Source organism: Homo sapiens, chromosome 9 (genome assembly GCF_000001405.40).
Source record: "Homo sapiens chromosome 9, GRCh38.p14 Primary Assembly".
In the NCBI taxonomy this organism is placed as follows: Eukaryota; Metazoa; Chordata; class Mammalia; order Primates; family Hominidae; genus Homo; species Homo sapiens.
The window spans coordinates 100,376,038-100,394,920 of NC_000009.12; the positions used below are offsets into that span (position 1 = coordinate 100,376,038).

The 18,883-nt window shown below is 41.0% G+C and overlaps 1 long non-coding RNA gene across 8 annotated transcripts in view, besides 1 other annotated feature; it reads left to right on the forward strand.

The window, feature by feature from the left end:
* The window catches only part of LOC105376177 (uncharacterized), a 41,149-nt gene extending 22,988 nt beyond the window's left edge, over positions 1–18,161 (forward strand). For 2 of the 8 annotated variants that reach the window (NR_188637.1, NR_188640.1), the window contains 2 exons: positions 14,412–14,509; positions 16,201–18,161. This is a non-coding gene — a long non-coding RNA (uncharacterized LOC105376177). Of the gene's footprint in view, positions 1–11,765; positions 13,526–14,411; positions 14,530–16,200 lie in introns of those variants that run through there. The other 6 variants (NR_188638.1, NR_188642.1, NR_188641.1 and 3 more) reach the window with 6 other exon arrangements.
* Positions 16,975–17,345: a silencer, noted in NCBI's record as "fragment chr9:103155294-103155664 (GRCh37/hg19 assembly coordinates)". NCBI's record gives its function as "represses an EF-1alpha promoter that drives an FKBP-Casp9 reporter gene in an ReSE screen in phorbol 12-myristate 13-acetate-treated (for megakaryocytic differentiation) K562 erythroleukemia cells {active_cell/tissue: K562(+PMA)}" and the evidence as "EXISTENCE:reporter gene assay evidence [ECO:0000049][PMID:32094911]".
* Positions 18,162–18,883: the final 722 nt, after the last annotated feature.

The following is an 18,883-nucleotide window of genomic DNA, read 5'->3' on the forward strand; positions in this document are numbered from 1 at the left end:
CTCTATCAATAGTATATTGTCAAAACCAGAAAATTGCAGTTGGTACAATACTATTAACTCAGGGACAGATCTTATTTGGATTTCACCAGTTTTTTACAACGAGAATTTATTTTTATTTTTATTTTATTTATTTATTTATTTTTGAGATGGAGTCTCACTCTGTCTCGCACAGGCTGGAGTGCAGTGGTGCAATCTCGGCTAAGTGCAGCCTCTGACTCCTAGGTTCAAGCAATTCTCATGTCTCAGCCTCCTGAATAGCTGAGACTACAGGCATGTGCCACCACACCGAAGTAATTTTGTATTTTTAGTAGAGATGGGGTTTCATCATGTTGGCCAGGCTGGTCTTGAACTCCTGACCTTAGGTGATCCACCCGCCTCGGCTTTCCAAAGTGCTGGGATTACAGGCATGAGCCACTGCACCCAGCTCAAGAATTGATATTTAAATGCATATTTTGTCATTTCCCAGAACTTGAGACAATAGTAAGCCCATAAGTCCCATTACAAAACTCTGTAGAAGACTCATCTAAAGTAATAAACTTCCCAGTTATCTCTTCTGAAAAGCTAAAAAGCAAATAGACCACTTAAGTAAGGAAGCACATCCTTTTACAACTCTTTTTGTAAAAGTCATGTAATCATCAGAGGTTAAATTGCTACCTTCCAGATCCTACACAGACTTTATTAGGATTTAGATAGGCATCCTTGAACCCACAACAAAAGTAAGAAGCTGCAAACTACAGGTTGATATTCATATCAGAAGGATGATACTCAAAAGGTTTAACAGCTAGTGTGGCCCAGCAACAATCAGCACTGAGGCCAGCTTTAAGCTACCGAAATAGCTGTCCTAGGGCCTCCCAGCTGAATTTCAGTCCTGAGGAAAGTAAGGCACAGAGACATACATATTTATTAATCTGTAGAGTAAGATTCTGATCCAGATCTCAAAACTCCTAAATTTTCCAGCAAAGAAATAGGATAACTGATATGGTTTAGCTCTGTGTCCCCACCCAAATCTCATCTTGAATTATAATCCCCATGTGTCGAGGGAGGGAAGTGATTGGATCATGGGGGGGTGTTTTCCCCCTTGCTGTTTTCATGATAGTGACTAAGTTCTCATGAGATCTGATGATTTAATAAGTGTTTGACAGTTCCTCCTTCGCACACTCACATTCCCTCCTGCCACCTTGTGAAGAAGGTGCCTGCTTCCCCTTCCACGATGATTGTAAGTTTCCTGAGTCCTCCCCAGCCACGTGGAACTGTGAGTCAGTGGAACCTCCTTTGTTTATAAATTACCGAGTGTCAAGTAGTATCTTTATAGCAGTGTGAAAATGAACTAATACAATAACCTTCCTTATTATACTCAACTAAAGAAAACTTTTAAATTACAAAATGACAATTGCGAGCCTGGAGCATTATTTCTAAAATGCTTTTCCTCAGAGCAGTATTTTTCTATTAGCATATTACAGTTATAGTCTGAAATTTACATTTTAAAAACATTACTTCAAAATTTTTAGAAAAATAAGTCACACACACATACACACACACTATAATAACCATTAGTTCCTGAGAACAATAGATGAATAAACATGAGACCTACCAAGTAGCTCAATAGTTCTTTATGGTTTTGAAATTCTACAGATTAATTTTTATTTTCTCATATGTGAGCAATTGCTTTGTGTTATTTCTCTGTACTCTATAAAATAAAATATCAAACCTTAAATTTTCTCACTGTATAGTAGATACATTCCTAATTCACTTGTTACCATTTACAGTTCACATAAAACATGGAACACAAACACATTAAACATGTGAGAATGGTAAGGATTTAGGGAAACAGGAACTCTCATTGGTAGAGGGAGTCAACTGGCACTTTTCAGGAAGAAACATTTTAATATTTAGTAAGAAGTTACCAAGCTGTTTATCCTTTGGACTTCCACTGCTAGGATTCTATTCTAATTGAATAACCAGACATCTAAATAAAGATTTATATATAAGAAATATATAAGAATGTTGATCCCATCAATGTTTACAGAGTGAAAAATCAGAAACATTATATATCTCTAGCAGTTAGGGTATGGGTATATAAAATATGGTACATACTTAAGAAAGAAAACACTACAACTTTTTTTTTTGAGACCATCTCACTCTGTTTTCCAGGCTGGAGTACAGTGGTATGATCATGGCTCACTGCAGCCTTGACCTCTCAGGCTCAAGTGATCCTCCTACTTCAGCCTCCCAAGTAGTTGGTACTTTACAGGTACATGCCACCACACTCCACTAATTTTATTTTTTATTTTTTGTAGAGACAGGTCTCACTCTATTGCCCAGCCTGGTCTTGAACTTCTGGACTCAAGCAATCCTCCCACCTGGGCCTTCCAAAGGCATGCAATTACAAGTGTGAGCCACTGCGCCTGGCCTACAACTTTTAAAAACAGTATTTTAAAAGTATAGTTAAAGATATGGGGAAATCTTCAGTGGAAAAAGTTAATAAGGGCAATTTGCTTTTTGTAGAAATATTCCAGCTAATACATGAAGAGGGAATGATAGAATTAAAACATCACCACTTTGCAACCCTTAGTAAACCAAATGGATCTGGGCAATGACCATCAATAGCTTTTTAAATCACAAAGAGTCAAGCAGACATTATGAACCTTCTTATTAAAGTACACAAAATACTTTTTAAAAAGTCTTGCCCCCCCCACCAAAAAATAAAAATCAAAACTGAATCTAATCAAGCCGAGATCTAACTACCAATTTATGGAAATTAAGGGCAGGGGAGCATATTAAACTACACTGTGGCAAAGCAGTCAGTAAAATCTGGATGTAGGAAACTCAACAAGACAACCTGATTTCTGTTAAAAAGTCATTTTGAAGGAATAAAAAGAGATTGAGTAGGAAGCAACAGATGAAGAGAATCTTAAGTGATATATCAGTGAATTATTAATATAATGTATGGACTTTCTAAGAATCCTGATTCAAATAAAGAAACTGTAAATATATATATTTATACAGAAAAAATTACTCATGACACTTTTTTTTTTTAAGACAGAGTCTCGCTTTGTCACCCAGGCTGGAGTGCAGTGGCGCAAACTCAGCTCACTGCAAGCTCCATCTCCAGGGTTCAAGCGATTCTCCTGCCTCAGCCTCCCAAGTAGCTGGGAATACAAGCATATGCCATCACCCCCAACCAAATTTTTGTATTTTTAGTAGAGACAGGGTTTCACCCTGTTAGCCAGGATGGTCTTGATCTCCTGATGTCATGATCTGCCCGCCTTGGCCTCCCAAAGTGCTGGGATTACAGGCGTGAGCCACCGTGCCCAGCCCATGACACTTATTAAAGATGATAAGGCAGACTTTATTCAGGGGTGACCATGGTGATAGGTATAGGGTCCACTGCAGCAAGGTCTTGCATTGGAGGAGAGAGATTACACTTGACTCTGACTGCAGCAAGGACAAGTGGGGATTTATAACCAAAGATCAGGGTGGGGTCAGTGGATGGAAAATTACTAAGAAGAAACAGCAAGGATAAGAAGTTTCTGGCTAAACAGACTTTACAGGATTATTGCTGAAGGCAGACCAGGGTGGTAATATATCAAGAGTGGTCACATACCAAGGTTGAGGAATTTTCACTGAACTGACTGTAGGATTCTTGCTCCAACTGGCTTCTACACAGACAGAGAGGGAAGCCCAAGTTTAGGCCTAGTCAGAAAAGACTCAGGAGACTGACTGAAGTTTTAGTCAAAAAGAGAGTCTTTGTCTATATGTAAACCTGGGAAATATGAACACTGGAGATTTGGTAATATTAAGAAATCATGGATAATGATAAAGGTAATCATTTTTTAAAAAAGAGTTCCTATCTTTTAGACTTACATACTGAAATATTTGTGGATGAAATAATAATATGAAGTGATGGTTTGAAATGTGCTTCAAATATCCCTGAGCGGAAGGGGACTGGGAGGGGTTTTTAGTCATTTCAGGCTGCTATAACAAAGTTCCATAGACTGGGTGACTCAAACAACAAACATTTAGTTTCTCACAGCTCTGGAGGATGGGAAGTGAAAGATCAAGGTGCCAGAAGATTTCGTGTGTTGTGAGGGCCCTCTTCCAGTTTACGGACAGGCTCCTTGCTGTATCCTCACATGGCGCACACACACACACACACACACACACACACAGAGAGAGAGAGAGAGAGAGAGAGAGAAAGAGAACTCTAGTCTCCTCCTCTTCTTAAAAGGACATCGATCTCATCATGAAGGCCTCACCATCAAGACCTCAGCTAAACCCAGTCACCTCCCAAAGGCCCCACCTCCTAATACTGTCACATTGGGGGTTAGAGCTTCCACATGTGAATCTGGGGGAGACACAAACATTTAGTCCTTAACAGTGGAGTAAAGATAAAACACGTTTGTCCACAAGCTAATAATTGTCAAAGCTGGAGGATAGGAATGTGGGGGTTCATTCTCTATTTTTGTGTGTGGAATTTTCCATAATATAATTTTTTTAATACAAGTAGACTCACAAGAGACTAAGGACATTTCCTGGGGCATATAGATATAGATATACATTTTTTTTTTTGAGACAGAGTCTCGCTCTGTCACCCAGGCTGGAGTGCAGTGACGCGATCTTGGCTCACTGCAACCTCCGCCTCCCGAGTTCAAGCGATTCTCCCACCTCAGCCTCCCGAGTAGCTAGGATTACAGGCACTCGCTATCATGCCCGGCTTATTTTTTTGTATTTTTAGTAGAGACGAGGTTTCACCATGTTGGCCAAGCTGGTCTTAAACTTGTGACCTCAGGTGATCCGCCTGGGCCATATTTTTTATGCCTTGTAATGAATAAACAAATAGCCTGTAATCCCAACACTTTGGGAGGCCAAGGTGGGCGGATCACAAGGTCAGGAGAGCGAGACCATCCTGGCTAACACAGTGAAACCCTGTCTCTACTAAAAATACAAAAAATTAGCCAGGCATGGTGGCGGGTGCCTGTAGTCCCAGCTACTCGGGAGGCTGAGGCAGGAGAATAGCATGAACCCAGAAGGCAGAGCTTGCAGTGAGCCGAGATTGCGCCACTGCACTCCAGCCTGGGCGACAGAATGAGACTCCGTCTCAAAAAAAAAAAAAAAAAAAAAGAATTGCAATTATTTAGAATTATTTACAATATGACTTGTAACCTGAAGTTCCTTTTCAGGTTATAAGTCCTAAATTTGGATTTGGAAAATATAGCAATCATGCCCTTGGTCTAGAGAAAATACTCATCTATGCATCTAAGTCTTCGCTGCCAAGGCCTGTAAGACTCAGGATATAGGGCAAATCTTCCCTAAGTCATTGGCACTGACCCCAGAGGTGTCACATCTAGAGCCTTAAGCAAGTTCTTCATCCAGAGATTAGAGATGATCATGTCAAGGAGGAAATATAATTTATCCTCAACATCATAAGTTTGCAATTGGACAGATTATCAAGAGAAAACAAGCAAGTTTATTAACACCTGCAGTGTACATCACGCAGGGGAAACATAATCAGAAGGTGACTCAAAGCAGTGGTTTAGAATTCTGGCATATATATGTTTTAATAAAAAAAAAAATTCAAGAGAAGTGACACGACAAAGGAAATCAGGTTTAGGCTTCCAAAGGCAGGAAACTATGGGGAGGTAAATATATGGGGAAATTAATGGTAGGTAATGGGTCATTATTAAGTTTGTTTGAAGATTCCTTTGGTGCTATCTCTAAGCTGATATGAGTTATTTCCAGTGAAGGAGAATGTATATCCTGTTTTTAGGTAGAAAAGCTGGGAGGATAGAAAGAGCTCTTCCTCTGTTTGCTTAATTGCCTTTAGCTCAAAAATATTGGTGTCAAAGAGGCATGTTTTGGGGTCACATATTCTAGTTTCTTTCCGTTTTTATTTAGTTCAGTCCTCTAGAATTTTTCTTCTAAGTAACTTAAGTCCAAGAAGAGAAATGCAGAGATATTCTGGATTTGCTTAGAGTCACCTGGATAAACTTATTTATTCTTTCCTCAATGTACATTTATTAAACCCCCACTTTTCAATAACATTTAATAATTTAATGACCTAATAAATATATATAGTAAAATATATATATTATGTATATAGTATAAATATATTTATATATGAAATATATATGTACTATGTATTATATACTATATATAGCACAGATATATTTATATATTTAGTATATAAATATATCTGTGCTATATATAGTATATAATATATAGCATATATTATATATTTTTAAGTTTAGTAAATATAGGCCGGGCGCAGTGGCTCATGCCTATAATCCCAGGACTTTGGGAAGCTGGGGTGGGCAGATCACCTGAGGTGGGGAGTTTGAGACCAGCCTGACCAACAGGAGAAACCCCGTCTCTACTAAAAATAACAAAATTAGCCAGGTGTGGTGGCACATGCCTGTAATCCCAGCCACTTGGGAGGCTGAGGCAGGAGAATTGCTTGAACCCGGGAGGCGGAGGTTGTGGTGAGCCAAGATTGCGCCACTGCACTCTAGCCTGGGCAACGAGAGCAAAAAACTCCATCTCAAAAAAAATAAAACAGTTTAGTAAAAATATAGTATATAGTAAATTATATAGTATATAATTTAGTATATATATTACTATATAGTATATAGTAAATTATATAGTATATAATTTAGCATATATCTACCATATATATATACACATAAACATACTTATACACACATTCACACACTCACAAGTACATGCACATTTATATCAGTTGTGATCTGAAGCCAGAAAAAAAAATTCAAACTTTTTTTTTCTCTTTCTATACCCCTTACTCTTTTCTATGAAATATGATTACAAGGGCTAATAGTTACAGAATAAGTAAGCTAACTTTTCTGTAGTAAATAGTTCACAGATACTTCCTTTATATAGTAGCTATTTTCTTTTTAGCAGTGCTATGGTTTGAATGTCCCCTCCAAAACTCATGTCGAAACTTAATCCCCAATGTGGCATTATTGAGAGGTGGTCCCTTTAAGAGGTGACTGGATCATGAAGGCTCTACCCTCATGAATGGATGAATTCATTCATAGATAAATGAATTTGAAACTGCCTTTGCAAAAATTATAACAGTGAGAAAATTATGATAGTAAAAGAGATCTGATCTAACCAACCCCCATCTTCTCTTTAGCTTCCAAACTGCCCTCAATTATTCCTGGGCTTGGGCCAAGCTAACTTTGGGAGACAGTTTATAGTTTCAGTGATAATAACTATTCCCCAAAACCAAACTGCCTTTGTGAAACTAATGAAAGACCACCAGGTTAGGAGGATGAGAGGAGCCTGAATTCTGCTAAGTTGTAGATGTAAACAATTAACAGCCATTATTCAGGAGGTCACAAGATTTGCAACTTCCCCAATTACTCCTGCAGATAACATCACTATTGTAGAACCTAAGACTGCCCTTTGGAGATATCTTTTCAGGTTTTTGCATTTCTGGTCAATGGCTCCACCCAGACCCAGCAATGGTCCTGTGGCCTCACCCAGAAGAAGATTCCACATACACAAGGACCATTTTCCACAACCCAGTGATTGCATCCTCAACCAGTCAGCAGTACCCATTCCCTGGCCCACCAAACTATTCTTGAAAAACCCTAGCCTCTGAATTTTGGGGGAGGCTGATTGGAGTGATAATAAACTCTGGTCCCCATTCAGCCAGTTTTATGTCAATTAAACTTTTTCTCTATTGCAATTCCCCTGTCTTGATAAGTCAGCTCTTTCTGGGCAGTGGGCAAAATGAACCCATTGGGTGGTTACAGATTAATGAGTTAATAGATTAATAGGCTTTATAAGAAGAAGAAGAGAGACCCGGGCTAGCATGTTAACACACTCAGCCCCCTCCCCATATAATACCTTGCTTTGCCTCAGGACTCTTCAGAGAGTCTCCCAGCAAGAAGGCTTTCACCAGATGTTTCCCTTCCTGCTTCGACTTCCAAGGCTCCAGACCAGTAAGAAATACATTTCATTTCTTATAGATTACCCACTTTCAGGTATTTTGTTATAAGTAATAGAAAATGGACTAAGGCAAGCAGTAAACCAGATGTTTGAAGTTGAGAGAAGACCTAAGAGTACTGTTACCGTACCCTGTGCAAGAGCTGTTCTTCAATTATCCTTTCTCCTTTGGAATCATCCATGACCCAGGTTGGAAATATACACCTAAGCATCCAAAGCTCTGAAAAATAACCAGGAAATTTAGGAAGAGCAAAGGGCACAAGTGCCAAATTAATAAAATTATCTATTTAGGGCAATTATTTTCATTTGTACAGTAGGGTCAAGTAACTAGATTATGTAATATATATATACTATAGTTACAATATATATTATAACTATCTCTGTAAGTAAAAGCTCTACCTGAAGAGGTAATGTGTAATGAATGAAAGTGTCTCAGAGGTGTTTGAACCAGAGCAACTCCATCTTAATTAGCAGCAGGGTAAAATGAGGCTAAAACCTACTGGGCTCCATTCCCAGACAGTTAAGGCATTCTAAGTCACAGGATGAGATGGGAGGTCAGCACAAAATACAGGTCATAAAGACCTTGCTGATAAAACAGTTGCAGTAAAGAAGCTAGCCCAAACCCACCAAAACCAAGATGGTGATGAGAGTGACCTCTGGTCGTCCTCACTGCTATACTCCCACCAGCGCCATGACAGTTTACAAATGCCATGGCAATGTCAGGAAGTTACCCTATATGGTCTAAACATGGGAGGCATGAATAACTGACCCCTTGTTTCACATATCATCAAGAAAAACTATTAAAATCGGCAATCAGCAGCTCTCGGGGCTGCTCTGTCTCTGCAGTAACCATTCTTTTATTCCTTTACTTTCGTAATAAACTTGCTTTCACTTTACTGTATGGACTTGCCATGAATTCTTTCTTGCATGAAATCCAAGAACCCTCTGGTGGGGTCTGGATTGGTACCCCTTTCCTGTAACAAAAGCAGTACTAGAGCAAAGGCTACCAGATAAAATTCCCTGCATCACAATTTGAAAGTTGTGTGATCTTGGGCAAATTATTTCATATTTCTGTACTTTCATTTTCTCATCTATAAAATTTGGGTGACACTAATGCCTATTTTATTGAGTCCTGGTGAGGATGACATGGGAGAGAAAAAGAGAGAGAATTATTAGGCACAGCCTCTGTCATGTAATATGATACCAAATTGTAGCGAGGAGGAAGAGTAACAGGAACTCTGATGGTCTTACATTTTGCTTACGTTTTGTAGTTATGACTATAAAATGGTATGTACACTTTGAAAGCTGTTCTTCAGTTTCTAATCAAGTTCAGCTTACGCTTACCATATGATCCAGCAATCCACTACTAGGCATTTACCCAAGATAAATAAAAAATTAAATTTACAAGTTCTGTTCAGAAGTGTTCATAGCATCTTTGTTCATAACCAGAAACAACCCAAATGTTCATCAACAGGAAAACTAATCAACCAATCGTGGTATGTTCACACAATGGAATACTACTCAGCAATATAAAAGAATGAACAACTGAAACACACAACAATGTGGAAAAATATCACAGACATGATTTTGATCAAAAGAAGCCACATACTAAAGAATACATACTTTATTTTTCCATTTATGTGAATTTAACAAATAGGCAAAATTAATTTTTTTTTTTTTTTTTGAGACAGAATCTCACACTGTTGCCTGGGCTGGAGTGCAGTGGCGTGATCTTGGCTCATGGCTACCTCTGCCTCCCGGGTTCAAGTGATTCTCCTGCCTCAGCCTCCCGAGTAGCTGGGACTACAGGCATGCATCACCACGCCCGGCTACTTTTTTGTATTTATAATAGAGATGGGGTTTCACTGTGTTGGCCAGGCTGGTCTCAAACTCCTAACCTCAGGTGATCCACCCGCCTCGGCCTCCCAAAGTGCTGGGATTACAGGCATGAGCCACCGCGCCCGGCCCATCTCATTTATGTTTAAATTTACTTATTTAGTGTTTATTGGTCATTTAGTTTATGCCAACAGTTTTTACATATACTTTGCTACATGTACTTTCATATATTCTTATAATGATTCTATGATTTAGGCATTATTATTATACAGCAATATATGATACATGGCTAAGAGAGGTTAAGTAACTTAATCAAGGCCACACAACTAGTAAGTGATATTGCTGGGTTTGGGGTCTTTTCACTTACAATGCTATCTTGTCTTCCTTACTGCAGACTGAGTTTGCAAATCAATCTCATAACTAGAACAAATCATGTTAATTGGAGTTTATTATTATTATGTACTTAAGCAAACTTTTTAACATAGTTTCAGACTTGTGACCTACACAACTGTGAGAGAATAAATGGGTATTGCTTTAAGCCACTATGTTTGTGATATCTTGTTACACCAGCAATAGGGAAATAATACAGATATCTTGCTCTTTTCCAAACCAGGCACCAGCCACTGCCAAAGCATTTTCCACGAAGGATGCTATGGGCACCCCAAAATATGTAATACTATATGATGCCCACATTAGATGTTAAATATGCTTTTCAAAAATAAAATTACTGTTTTACTGAGGGATATATTGGTGACTAGGAGTAGAAAGCCATTCAAGCAACTGAAGCTACAGGGAGTTTGTTTTGAGGATAAAGAGGGAAATCTCATGGACCACCAAGCACAGATAATGAACTTAGCCACTACATGAAAGAAAATGGATCAGATAGCATTTACAGAAAAGGTTTCCCACACAGCTTCAAGCAGGAGCCGAATGAGAATAAATATAAAAATAGATAATACCAACAAACTAGTTTAAATGCTCCATTTCCCCCCATACACTGCACATTCATGGGTTATTTGATAACATCTTCTAAAATTCTGGTTATGTAAAAGCTATGCAATTTAGGATTTTAAAGAAACATCTAGGGTGGCCACACTTGGGGGAAACAGGGAGGAGGGATACAGAGTAGTACTTTTTTTTTTTTTTTTGAGATGAAGTCTCGCTCTCTCTCCCGGCTGGAGTGCAGTGGTGTGATCTTAGCTCACAGCAACCTCTGCCTCCCGGGTTCAAGTGATTCTGCTACCTCAGCCTCCTGAGTAGTTGGGATTACAGGTGCGTGCCACCACATGCAGCTGATTTTTAATTTTTAGTAGAGATGGGGTTTTGCCATGTTGGCCAGGCTGGTCTGGAACTCCTAACCTCAGGTGATCCACCCGCCTCTGCTTCCCAAATTGCTGGGATTACAGGCGTGAGCCACCGTGCCCAGTCCAGAGTAGTACTGTGAATGAAAGGAAAATTCACAGGTCTTTATGATGGCTTGGGTATAGGGGTGAGAGACAATAAGGAATTACATATGATTCCCAGAATTCCAGCTCCTCTATAAGCTTCAAGTGGACAAATGCAGAATCTTTCTTTTTGTTTCCATTGTATCTACAGTGTTCAGCACACAGTAGATGCTCAATAATTGTTTGTTGTTCAGTTATAGAAACCACTGAATTTTGTTCTTTTTTTAACAGGGAAATGACATGATCAGGTAGCTAGTTTTTCAGCAGTGTGGAGGATGAACAAGGCCCAGAGAGGATGGCAGAGACTGAGAGCTGTCTATCCAAATGCAGCCTCCTTTCCTTCCTGAGCATATAGCTAGCTGACATTTCCCAGCGTCCTCTTAAGTTGGGTGTGGCCATGTGAGCATGTTCTAGCCAATGGAATGTAAGATGGAAGTGATGGAAGTGATGCACACCACTTCCACACCAGCACCTTAAGACCAGGCTGACCCTTTTCCTGCTTTCCCTTTCCACCAGCTGAATTTTGGCAATGGTGACCCTGCCTCAATCATGCAAAAGAGATGAATGTCCTTGCAAATGACAAAGGACTAAGATGGAAGGAGTTTGGATCTGTGAATCACTACATGGAGAAAAGCCATCTGCTGACCTAGAAACTTACTCTGGATGAGATGAGAAATGAATTTATTGTTCTTTAAGATGCTGAATTTTGGAGGTTTATTTTTTCTATCCACATAGCCACCGTTATTAACATGGGGTGGGAGTCAGAGAGTGACACTAGAAACAGGACTATTTTAATAAACCAGGTAAGAGATGATGAATACTGGCCAGGCACAGTGGCTCACGCCTGTAATCCCAGCACTTTGGAAGGCTGAGGTGGGTGGATCACCTGAGGTCAGGAGTTCGAGACCAGCCTGATCAATATGATGAAACCTGTCTCTACTAAAAATATAAAAGATTAGTTGGGCATGGTTGTGTGTGCCTGTAATCCCACTACTTGGGAGGCTGAGGCAGGAGAATCACTTGAACCTAGGAGGCGGAGGTTGCAGTGAGCCAAGATCACTCCATTGCATTCCAGCCTGGGTGACAGAGTGAGACTCCGTCTCAAAAAAAAAGAAAGATGATGAAAACCTGTGATGGGATTGGTGGGGGTAGGTGAAGAAAAGATATGAACAAATTTATAAAATACACTCAACATGACTGCTTTACCTTCAAATTTCTTAAAATCTTGACACTTCTGTAGCTTACTACAAGATTTTCTGCAAGGAGACTTTATTCCCACCGGTTAACTAAAACTTCTCTTTCCAAATTTATTAGAGGCCTAAAACCAGCAAATCCAATCTGGCCTTTTCTTGGTCTTTATAGTTGTCTCCTCTCTATAGCATACGACACTGTTGATCACCCCACCCACCCTGTAGCTTTTTACATGCTGGCTCTAATACCTTCCATTCTTTCTGTGTTGTTGTTGTTTTTTTCCATCAGCTTATTCTTATTCCATGCCCTTCTAAACATAGGGGCTCCTCAAGGTCCTGTCCTTAAATGCATTCTCCTTTTTTTATCTAGACACATTCACTCTCATGGCTTCAACTAGGCGGAATGTGACTGACCAACAGTGTGGCTCATCCTTGTGGAGGAGAACAGATGCCAATTAATTTGACATGACCATATCCAACCCAGGAAGTGGGTGGGAGGTAGGAAGGCAAATGAGCATCTCTCTCTTCCTATTTCAGATATGAATAGGTTATTTCCTCTGATGGAAAAAAACATGCAGAACTTTCTGTAAGTGAAGGAGTGGACTTTGGAGAACAAGCAGGATTGTCCAATAAATGACCTGAGAACACTTTTTGTGTTGCCTGCCTATGAACAGTTGGTTCCCTGTCCGCCAGGTGGAAGGGGCTATGCCTGAACTCAGCTTCCCAAGAGACCTGGTGGTTGAACTGCTAATGTTTTCCTGAATCCGCATGAACAGGTGGTGTCTAGCCTCACACTTTCAAATGCTAAAGCCTGAATGGTTTACCTCCAGTAAACCTCCAGTAGGAAACAACCTACTTGACTCTAGACTTCTTTTACCCACTGCTGTCACTCACCAATCAGAACCTGTCAGCTCCTCAAAACTTTATTAGTGCCTATGAATTTTCTTTCAAAGTAATACATAACATTTCTCCTTTTTTAAAACCTCCAACCTTCCCTTTGTTCTTCATACATACCCAAAACCACCATGCCGGTATTTATGCCTTGAATTGCAATTCTTGTGTCCCAAATAAAACATTTTAAAATTAGTCTCTCTATTTTATTTGACTTTGGCAATCTTATGCAATTTATTGAATACTGTGCTGAAAGTTTTCTGAGCACGTTTAATGTAGGCTAGGTTAAGCTATAATGTTTGGTATGTTAGGTATATTAAACATATTTTCAACTTGTGATGTTTTCAATTTACAATTAGTTTATTGGGATGTAACCCCATCATAAGTCAAGGAGCATCTGTAGTTTGAAATAGTAAGATTACATTATGAAGAAAGGTTTAAATCCATGATCTGCCTGCAATTTGTCTGAGGCTTGGTTGAGACAATTGCCTGTACCTATTACACCATAGTTCACTTTCCCATCCTTCCTAGGCGTTAAATTGTGTTCCCTTCAGCCTACGTCATCCAGGAGAGTTGGGAGACTGGGTGGTAATCATATGTGTGATCAATGCTTCTGAAATTTTGTTTCTTTAGAGAAACCAAAAATATACCACATTTAATAAGAGAAAGTCAATATATTAATATAGAGGAGAGAAGAGGAAGGAAATTGACATTTGCCAAGAGCTTACTTTGTGCCAAACTGTGTGAGAGTCTACTTTAATATCAAGGGTTGTTTGTTACATAATGCTTAACCTTTCTATTATAATGCTTGTTTCCTTGTTTGGTATAGGAAAATGTATCTATTTATTATATGTTTATTAAGTGAAATTAAATTTACTCATCAATTTTATGATATTTAGCTACTTACAACTTTACAGATATTGTTATAACTAACACAACCAATATATGAGACCATTTAGACTATCTTTCGTTAAGGTAGAAAGTACTTATATTCCTTTTAAAGTCAATTATGGTACATGTGAAAATAATAATGATTATAGCAGAAATGCATATTGAAACAGAATCTCACTCTATTGCCCAGGCTGGAGTACAGTGGCATGATCATATCTCACTGCAACTTCTACCTCCTGGGCTCAAGCAATCCTCTTACCTCAGCCTCCTGAGTAGCTGGGACTATAGGTACGTGCCACCATGCCTGGGTAAGTTTTTTATTTTTTATGTGTACAGATAGGGTTTTGCCATGTTGCCAAGGCTGGTGTCAAAACTCCTGGGCTCAAGTGATCCCCCACCTTGGCCTCCCAAAGTGCTGGTATTACAGGCATGAGTCACCACGCCCTGCCCCCAAAATATTTTTAAAATACGTTATACAACTATATTTTTCTGTGACTGTTTTTCTGAACCCACACTGACCCCTAGCACAATATATTTATCTATTAACTTTTTTTAGTTGTATATATTTAAGGTGTATCATGTAATTTTGAGACATATATACATAGTGAAATGAATACTACAATCACGCAAATTAACATATTCATCATCTCACATGGTTACCTTTTATGTGTATGGTTCTATAAACTCTTACTTGAAATTTGTTTAATTATTTCATCACAGGATTCTTGTAGAAAGTTAATGAGTAGGAGGCCAGGCGTGGTGGCTCATGTCTGTAATCCCAGCACATTGGGAGGCCAAGATGGACAGATCACCTGAGGTCAGGAGTTTGAGACCAGTCTGGCCAACATGGCAAAACCCCATCTCTAACCAAAAAAAAGAAAAAAAACTACAAAAATTAGCCAGGCGTCTTGGTGCGCACCTGTAGTCCCAGCTACTGGGGAAGCTAAGGTGGGAGGATTGCTTGAGCCTGGGAGACAGAGGTTACAGTGAGCTTAGATCGCGCCACTGCACTCCAGCCTGGGTGACAAAGTGAGACTCTGTCTCAAAGAAAAAAAGAAATAAAGAAAGTTAATGAGTAGGAGTATTGCCTTCCTATGGAATTTGTGTGCCAATTAGGTATCATCTAGGGTAGGCTAATGCAAATGTAGCCTATTTTTTGTTACAATTAAATATTCACCATAATGGATTTTTTTTTTTGAGACGGAGTCTTGCTCTGTCGCCAAGACTGGAGTGCAGTGGCACCATCTCGGCTCACTGCAAGCTCCACCTCCTGGGTTCACGCCATTCTCCTGCCTCAGCCTCCCGAGTAGCTGGGACTACAGGCGCCCACCACCACACCCGGCTAATTTTTTTGTATTTTTAGTAGAGACGGGGTTTCACTGTGATAGCCAGGATGGTCTCGATCTCCTGACCTCGTGATCCGCCCGCCTTGGCCTCCCAAAGTGCTGGGATTACAGACGTGAGCCACCGCGCCTGGCCCATAATGAAATTTTAAACATAGCTTGAAAACAATCACTGCTAAATGCAAACCATTCATCCAGTACCTCAGTATCTTCCACCTCAGACTAATAACAGCCACATTAGCACATGTCTAAGACAGCAGCAGTCCAAATTCTTTCTGGTTTCTCTTGGGAACCATAAAATTTAATTTTTCATGTAGAAACCCCGTTAACCTAACTTTGTTACCATTATTTCAAGTAGCTTGCACACTGTGCAAACATGTCCACAAAATAGTGTATATCTATCCTTAAATTACATGCTTTTGCTATTCACAAAACAATCATACCAATACCAGATATGAAAGCATTTAAAAAATACTTTTTGATGAGTAGATGTTGTTCAACTGGCATCAAAAATAGTGAAATAAGTAAATCAACATTGGAAGTGACTTTCAAAGGTGAAAAAGAACTTCCATTAAAAAGTTATCTCTCCCTCCCCCTCCCCATCCCCCTTCCCCCTCCCTCTCCCTCTCCCTCCAGTCTCCCTCTCTTGCCAAGCCTGGACTGTACTGCCATGATCTCAGCTCGCTGCAACCTCCCTGCCTCGAGTTCTGGTGATTCTCCTGCCTCGGCCTGACATTCCAGGCAGGCGCCGCCACTCCTGACTGGTTTTTGTATTTTTGGTGGAGACGGGGTTTCACCGTGTTGACCGGGCTGGTCTCCAGCTCCTGGCCTCGGGTGATCTGCCCACCTCGGCCTCCCGAGGTGCTGGGATTGCAGACGGAGTCTCGCTCACTCAATGCTCAATGTTGCCCAGGCTGGAGTGCAGTGGCGTGATCTCAGCTTGCTACAACCTCCACCTCCCAGCCGCCTGCCTTGGCCTCCCAAAGTGCTAAGATTACAGCCTCTGCCCACCCGCCACCCCGTCTAGGAAGTGAGCAGCGTCTCTGCCTGGCCGCCCATCGTCTGGGATGTGAGGAGCACCTTTGCCCGGCCGCCCCGTCTGGGAAGTGAGGAGCGCCTCTGCCCGGCCACCCCGTCTGGGAGGTGAGGAGCATCTCTGCCCGGCCACCCCGTCTGGGAGGTGAGGAGCGCCTCTGCCCGGCTGCCCAGTCTGGGAAGTGAGGAGCGCCCCTGCCCACCCGCCCATTGTCTGGGAAGTGAGGAGCACCTCTGCCCAGTCGCCCCGTCTGGGAAGTGAGGAGCGCCTCTGCCCGGCCGCCCCGTCTGGGATGTGAGGAGCGCCTCTGCCCGGCCGCCCCGTCTGGGATGTGAGGAGCGCCTCTGCCCAGCCGCCACCCCATCTGGGAAGTGGGGAGCGCCTCTGCCCGGCCGCCCCATCTGGGATGTGAGGAGCGCCTCTGCCTGGCCTCCCCGTCTGGGAGGTGGGGAGCGCCTCTGCCCAGCCGCCCCGTCTGGGAGGTGAGGAGCATCTCTACCTGGCTGCTCATCATCTGGGATGTGAGGAGCACCTCTGCCCGGCCGCCCCATCTGGGAAGTGAGGAGCGCCTCTGCCCAGCCACCCTTCGTCTGGGAGGTGAGGAGCGTCTCTGCCTGGCCGCCCATTGTCTGGGATGTGAGGAGCGCCTCTGCCCGGCCGCCCCCTCTGGGAAGTGAGGAGTGCCTCTGCCTGGCCGCCCCATCTGGGAGGTGTACCCAACAGCTCCGAAGAGACAGCGACCATTGAGAACGGGCCATGATGACGATGGTGGTTTTGTTGAAAAATAAAGGGGGAAATGTGGGGAAAAGAAAGAGAGATCAGATTGTTACTGTGTCTGTGTAGAAAGAAGTAGACATAGGAGACTCCATTTTGTTCTGTACTAAGAAAAATTCTTCTGCCTTGGGATGCTGTTAATCTATAACCTTACCCCCAACCCCGTGCTCTCTGAAACATGTGCTGTGTCAACTCAGGGTTAAATGGATTAAGGGTGGTGCAAGATGTGCTTTGTTAAACAGATGCTTGAAGGCAGCATGCTCCTTAAGAGTCATCACCACTCCCTAATCTCAAGTACCCAGGGACACAAACACTGCGGAAGGCCGCAGGGTCCTCTGCCTAGGAAAACCAGAGACCTTTGTTCACGTGTTTATCTGCTGACCTTCTCTCCACTATTATCCTATGACCCTGCCACATCCCCCTCGCCGAGAAACACCCAAGAATGATCAATAAATACTAAAAAAAAAAAAAAGTTATTTCTTCTAATCAATATTTCCAAGAGTTTCAACCTCTAATTTTAAATCTCTCAGTTTGATTTCCTCTTTTACTGTCTTTCCTAAGGTGATTAGCATTTGTAATTGCCAGAAGGAATTAAGTCCCCCAAACCGTAACCTGATGAATCACAGATAGTCAGGTCAATCACCAGCCTTATTAAATATTCACTTAAAAGTTTAAGTAGTTGTATTTCATCACCTAAAAGTTATAATTCTACAGTACAAAGGACTTTTTCTTAAATTAACATGAATAACCAGTTATGTGATGATAAATAAACTTTTTAAGTAAGGAATAATCACTCATTGGCCAAGACTCTACTATTGTGAAATCATTAAATGAAAATGATAAAAGCTTACAGTCATCAAATAATTAACATGTACCAAGCACTGTTCTACCTTTACATGAATCAACTTATTTCATTCTTATAAAAATTCTATAGTGAACCTTTATACTACTATTGTAGTTTTATGGACCTAGAAATTGAGATTAAGTAACTTGTTCAAGGTCATATAGTTTGTAAATGGAGGAGCCAGAATTCCAACCCAGGCCATTTAACTTTGAGCCTGTGGCCTGGGATGGAATTCTGTTCTTAACCACTACAGTGTAGTGCCTTGGAAATGTCACATCCACACTTGTTTTGAAATTGAGTTACTGAGGAATTTACCACCTTGTGTTTGGCACCAAAAATATGCCTGAAATGTTAAGAAAATAGAAAGGTTTGTTTCAACAGCAAAATTATGCTGAAATTATCCTTCACTACACCTCCTCCTGCACACCTCTATCTCCTGCCTGAAGCAAGTATCCCGTCTCCATCAGCACTCTTGCTCACTGAGCCCAGGCTGGGTCTCAGAATCCTTCTCAGCACAACATATAATAGTCAACAGTTGGCATGCAAGAGGAAATCTGCACACTATGTCTAGCAGTACACTAAAATGTGCAGTTTCGTATAGCATATATGAAGGTGTCAGTCTTTTCCCTTTCTTTTTGTAATGTCTCTTAGGGAGACATTGCAAG